The following is a 6118-nucleotide window of genomic DNA, read 5'->3' as shown; positions in this document are numbered from 1 at the left end:
CAAAATGAGCTCATTCACTTCACTTGAAATTGTCCCTCCATCTGTCCCTTGACAATAACCATTCCTATCTCTGAGGCTCCTTGAACACCAATCGTAATAAGTACAGGTACATCTACTGGGTACTTAGCATGTGCCAGGCACTGTACTAAGCACTTTATACATTCATTACAAATTTGTTCACCTTCATATCTCCACAAATTACTGCTCCTCCATTTTACAGATATAGGAAGTCAAGGAAGGTGCCCAAGGTCACACAGCTATGAAGTGGAGGAGCCAGCCTCCAACTCCCACACCTGCTCCACAGTCTGTGCATTTGTTCACATGATTCTGCCTCCACAGACACCTCCCTGGAGGTCTAAATGTATAAAATCCATACTTCTGGCACTATATTACCTATCTGTGTTAGGCCATTCTTGTACTGATCTAAAGAAATACCTGAGACTGGGTAATTTCTAGGAGTTTTAATTGGCTCGCAGTTCTACAGGCTGTACAGGAGGCATGATGCTGTCATCTGCTTCTGGGAAGGCCTCAGGAAGCTTACAATCATGGTGGGAGGTGAAAGGGAAGAAGGTGTCTCACATGGCAGCGGCAGGAGCAAGACAGGGAGCACGTGGAAAGAGGTGCCACATACTTGTAAACCACCAGATCTCCTATGAACTCAGAGTGGGAGTTCACTTACCACCAAGGGGATGGCCCAAGCCATTCATGAGGGATCCTCCCCCATGATCCAAGCACTTCCCACCGGGCCCTATCACCAACACTGGGGATTACAATTCAATATTAGATTTGGGTGGGGACAAATAGCCACCACATTATATCATGATCACTTAAATGTAGCCAGTAAAGGCCTCGTGGGCCAAACATCCTGGTTATCCTTGCCTCCTTCACCCTTCTTCTCCCACCTCACATTCAATTCCTCACATATTCTGTGAGCTCTATTCCTGAAAAGCTTTCAGAGTTTGACTCCTCATCACCTTCGCCACTTTCCACTCTGTCCATGCCACCACTGTTCCTTCCATGGGTAACATCTGTTCTTGTGGCATTCTGGAGCACCTTTAAAACCAAAGTGTAATCTGTCTCTCCTCTTTCCAACAGTGCCCCGATCACTCAAAATGGAGGCCTTATTGTATGCAGCTGCATGGCCCTACAGAACATAGCCTCATCCCCACCACAGTCTACCTGGCTTACTCCACTCTTATCTCATTGGCCTTGTAGTGGCTCCTCAGAACAAAACAAAAGCACCAGAAACTTTTTTCTCCCAGGTATCATGCAGGGCATTCAATCTCTTTCTTCATGCATGTCTCTGCTCAGATGTCCTCTTACAACGAAGGCCTTTTCAGACAATGCATCAAAAGCAGAGCCCCTCTCCTGCCCTACTTTGCCTTCCTACCCTGCTCCCTCTCCTTAGCACCTAGGTTATGTTCATGAACCAAAGACTGATTCTGTGTATTGAACCCTACCTTGTTTATTTCCTCACTGCAGGTTAAATTGTCAGCTCAAAAGCCTGCTGATGCCAAATGCAAATTTTTACACATCCAGTTATTTAAAAAATAGCACAAACAAGCAGATTTTTAGCCATCTGGAGCCTGCCTACTTTACGTACCCTATGAGGCCTCACCCAACAGCTGTTGCTCATTGATCAGATGGGGCCTTGTACTTATAAGGCCCTGAACACTGTGGCCCTTCTGAGCTCTCTGACCCAGACTCTCTGCTGTACTGCTGAGTGACATCACTTAGATCCTCTAAGCCCCCTTTCTAATCCCCCTCTCTCTTGATTTTCTGTTTGCTCTTCTCCCCTTCTAAACAGTGGCCCCCTTGCCCTAAACCTCTGGATGGTCTCACTAGGAGAGACATCCTCTTTCATGCAACCCCATCCAAGAGCCATTCAGTAAAGCATGTTGTATGTTACTGCCCCCTGTGCTCACATCTTTTTCCTTGATCATCTCCCAGATCCCTCCAACTCAACTCCTACAACAAAGCACCCTTATGTATTTTCTGTCTTTCCTCAAGGTCGGTCTCAAATAGCAGGAATTTTGTTTTGTTCACTGATGCATCTCCAATCCCCGGAACATGACTCCATGTTGCTAGTAGACACCTGATATATACATATGTAATAGGTATCAAATATATATATGTATATTTGTTGTAGTAGGAAATGAGTGAATGAATCATCACTGCATCACTGTTCTTCATTTCTCTTTCACTCATCCCATTCTTTTACACTTCATCATTACCTTCGAATAATCTGTTCTCTTCCACAAGACAGCAAACATTATATAGCCAGCATTATAGTGGAGAAAGATACGGGAACGTACAGTAAGGAAGTAAAGAAGCCACTCCCAGATAAGGGAAGCTAGACTAAAGTCTCACTACATACAGCTGTTGGGTTGAGATTTTCATCCTCCATCTTGCCACTCCCAACAACACTTCTTTCAAATCAAGAGTTGATAGAAGAGAAATGGAGGCTACTGCCTCACAAACCATGTTGTTCAAATTCTGCTACACCTCTTTGGGCTTCGATCTCAACACCGCCATGCTGCCTCTCACCAAGATTTAAAGAAATACAGACAGGCTTCACCATCTTAGAGGAGAACCAAATCACCCACCTCTTATAAGAGATATCAGTGTGCTGGCAGAGAATGTAAGGTTCCTATCATGTGTGGGTACAATTTTGTTTGCCCTGTAATATTTGCTAGCAGGCGTTCATGCATCCCTAAGTGCTTGAGGAAGAATGCTGAATTCTACTGGGCATTTGTTGGTAATGCAGGAGAGAAATTGCAGCTTAGCCCTTTCCTATATTACTCAATAGGAGCTGAACCCCCATGCAGAAGAGCACAGTTGTGGCTATGGTTGACTGGGGTATGCACCATGCATTAGCCCACTTCCCATTTTCAATCACTTGCTCGCAAGGCCACACTCTTGCCTTTATCATCATTTTGAACTATGCCACCAATGACATCTTAAATTCTACCAGAGACACCCAATGTTTATACACAGCATCCCCCACTCTCACAACTCCTACTCAGCCTCCTTTCTTCCTTGTCAGGACCTCCCAGTTCTGTCTGCCCTCCTGGACCACAGAATCACTCCCTTGAACCACAATTATCAGCACTTTCTTCACTTTCTTCCCTGGTTACCCCTCTGCCACACCCATGCTTCCACAGCCTCACCCAAACCACCTCATGCTTTATCTATTTTTGCTGCAGCATCCCATATACTCTGGGAGCAACATGGATATGCCAGCCACACTCCTGCTACATAGCCTTTATGCTGGCTGTTCTCTCCACCAGATTGCTTGTCCTCCGTAGCAACGTGGCCAGCTTCCTTCAAGTCTTTGAGGTCAATGAGAGCTTCCCTGAACACCTTATTTAAATTCTAAGTCACAAGTCCCTCACAACTTCTGATATCCCCTATCCTGATGTGTCTATTTCCACACAGCATATCACCCTCCAGCATTTCATTTTGCTTACTAATTAATCTTGCGTCCTCCCAATCTTCAGTCCTCCTCTCCTTCTAGTATTTAGGAAATACTGGAATATTTCCCAAAGGCAAGGAGTTTTTTCTATTTTGTTCACTGATGTATTCTCACCTCTTGAAACAATGTCAGCACACAGCAGATGTTCAATAAATATCTCTCAAATACATAAATGAGTGAACGATTGGTTTCCAACAACACATAGGCCCTCGTACAAGGCTCAGCCACCTGGCCTCTCCTTCTGCAGTTCTCTTTACCACCACACATGGGCTTTGCCCTTCATATTCTCCTTCTCATTTTCACATATGACATTTGTATCTATCTCATAATGAAAATAGGGAGGAAAACTGGCCGCAGGCCTGCTAAGTTCCCTTCCCTCGAAAAGCATTTTTATTTCTACCCACTTTTGCTCTGCCTTTTCTCCCTTTGCTCTGCCTCAGCAATAGAGGTATCGGGCCTTCCTTTCAAAGTCTGGCCCTTCCATCTGTGCTTCTGGTCATCTACCCTCCTATTTTTTTTAGAAGGGAGGGTGCTAGGTCCATTTTCTGGTAAACTAGTGGGGTTCGCCCCCTGAAGGAAGCACCATGCCTTCTGTGCGAAAAAATAGAGGATTTTCCACACTCTGGGGTTAGAGGGAAAAGCCCTAGAGAGGCAGGAGTTAGAGCTAAGGCGGCCAGAGTACGTGCAGCCCAGCGAGGGCCCCTTTGGACCCAGCCGTGGAGATTCTGAAAGTGTGCTGGGGAGGGTGCGAAGGTTGGAAGGTTCGGGTCGCTGAGTACCTGGAGCTCAGGCCTAGGAAGAGAGGGCACTGTCAGGACAGGGCAGAAAGCTCTGAAAGGAGTAAGCCACGGCGGGACTCCAGAAGAGGCAGGACGGCAGAACTCCAAACATCTTCTCTTCCTATGGCGCCAGCAGCTCTAGAGCAGGGGTCCAGGTGGAGCCCCGCCCCCGGCAACCTCACAGGAGTGTGCTCTTCCTACCTAGCCCCACCGGCCCCGACTTTCCACGGTCGGGAAGGCCAGCGGCCGCCAAAGACTTAGTGCCACCTTGTGGCCACAACAGCAACTGCAGCCGCGGAGCCCGGCGTGGGCGGCTCCCTGTCCCTCCTCCGCGCATGCTCAGGATCCGGTAACCCTGGGTTTGGGAAACCCCCGGGTGCTCAGTTTGATCGCAAAGAGGTAGAGAATGGAAGGGGAGAACCTGGGAAGGGATAAAGACATTATTGTAATAACGAAATGGAGACTCCGGCTATTCTGAATATTAAAAGAGATGTGCTATTTTATACCTGGCATCCTAGTGAAAAATGAAATCTCTCTTGGGTTTTTTGTTTCTCGTTTCTACCAGTTCCTTCCATCTCCCCCACCATGAACGTCAGCCAGTTCCCTTTCTAAGAAAAAGAAAAAAGAAAAAAATGTTACTGAAACTGCTACCCCTTGAGATCAGTCTTGTTTCCTTTTTCCTCTTTTTAAAAATTATGGTAAAATACCCGTAACAGAGAATTCACCATTTTAATGATTTTTAACAGTGTAAAGTTCAGTGGCGTTAAGTACATTTACATTTTTGTGCAACCATCGCCACTGTCCGTCTCCAGAACTTTTTTGTCTTCCCAAACTGCAATCCTGAACCCATGAAACACTAACTCCCCATTCCCTCCTGCCCTCAACCTCTTGCAACCACCGGGCCACTTACTGCCTCTCTGGCGAGTTCACTACCCATCAACCACAGCTTTGCTGAGAAGCCAGGATAGGGAAACATGTTCCCCCACTCCAATCTACATTTGTTTCTAAGTGGTGGTAGGCTTTTTAGGTCATCTTTATTTCTTCATGAAACTTCTCTGTGTTTTCTTTCTTTTTTCCAATAAAATTGCTATTTTTATTTTTAAAAACACGGATAACCTTTTGAAGAAAGAGATGGGTAGGTGTTTACTAAGCAGATGTCTGGGTGGGTGGGGAAGGGCATTCCAGGCAAAGGGAGCGGGAAGCACAGAGGGCTGGAGGGGGCATGAGGAGGGTGGCGTCTTGGTGGAGGGCAGCTTGGTCAACATGACTAGAGTTTGGGGATTACAATGAGGAAAGAGGAATCAAGATATCAGGCTGCCTGCAAAGTGGGCAGAAGTAAGATCTGAAAGGCTTTGTTTGCCACGTTAAGTAGTTGGCCTTTTTAGGCAATAGGAGAAAAAGGATTTTAAACAGAGGAGATACTTGAGCAAAGACTGCTTTAGAAATGAGACTCTAGTGTATGGATTGTAGTGAATGGATGGAGAGGGAGAAGGAGATGAGAGTGGATGCAAGTTAGGAGACTGCCACAATGGTCAAGGGGAGGAGTGCTGAGGGCCTGAGATAGGGAGGAGAGGCAGAGAGAGGTAAACAATTAAGAGAGGCATTAAGAAGGGGAACTGAGGGGACCAAGCAACTGCTAATCTATTAGGGAGTGAGAAGGAGAGGTATTTGGCTGGAGTGACTGAATGGATGGTGGTGTCAGGCACTGAGTTAGAGAATGGAAAAGCGAGAAGCAGATTTCGGGGAAAAGTCCATGAGTGCACTTTGGGACATGTTGAGTTCTGGGTTCCTGGGGGTCACCCAAGAGAAGAATCGTTAGGTACAGTGATTATATTTGCAGGTGGAGAGTTCATGAGAGATCTCT

General features: G+C 46.3%; 1 long non-coding RNA gene across 1 annotated transcript; it reads right to left on the bottom strand.

Annotated features, from left to right (window-relative positions):
- Positions 1–446: 446 nt before the first annotated feature.
- Positions 447–4862, bottom strand: LOC124901349 (uncharacterized). Its single transcript, XR_007059655.1, has 2 exons — positions 4761–4862; positions 447–4675 (listed from the first exon to the last, which is right to left on the bottom strand). It is a non-coding gene; the product is annotated as an uncharacterized LOC124901349 (long non-coding RNA).
- Positions 4863–6118: the final 1256 nt, after the last annotated feature.

This window comes from Homo sapiens, chromosome 6 (assembly GCF_000001405.40).
Source record: "Homo sapiens chromosome 6, GRCh38.p14 Primary Assembly".
NCBI lineage: Eukaryota > Metazoa > Chordata > Mammalia > Primates > Hominidae > Homo > Homo sapiens.
This window is presented reverse-complemented; position numbering and strand designations above follow the sequence as displayed.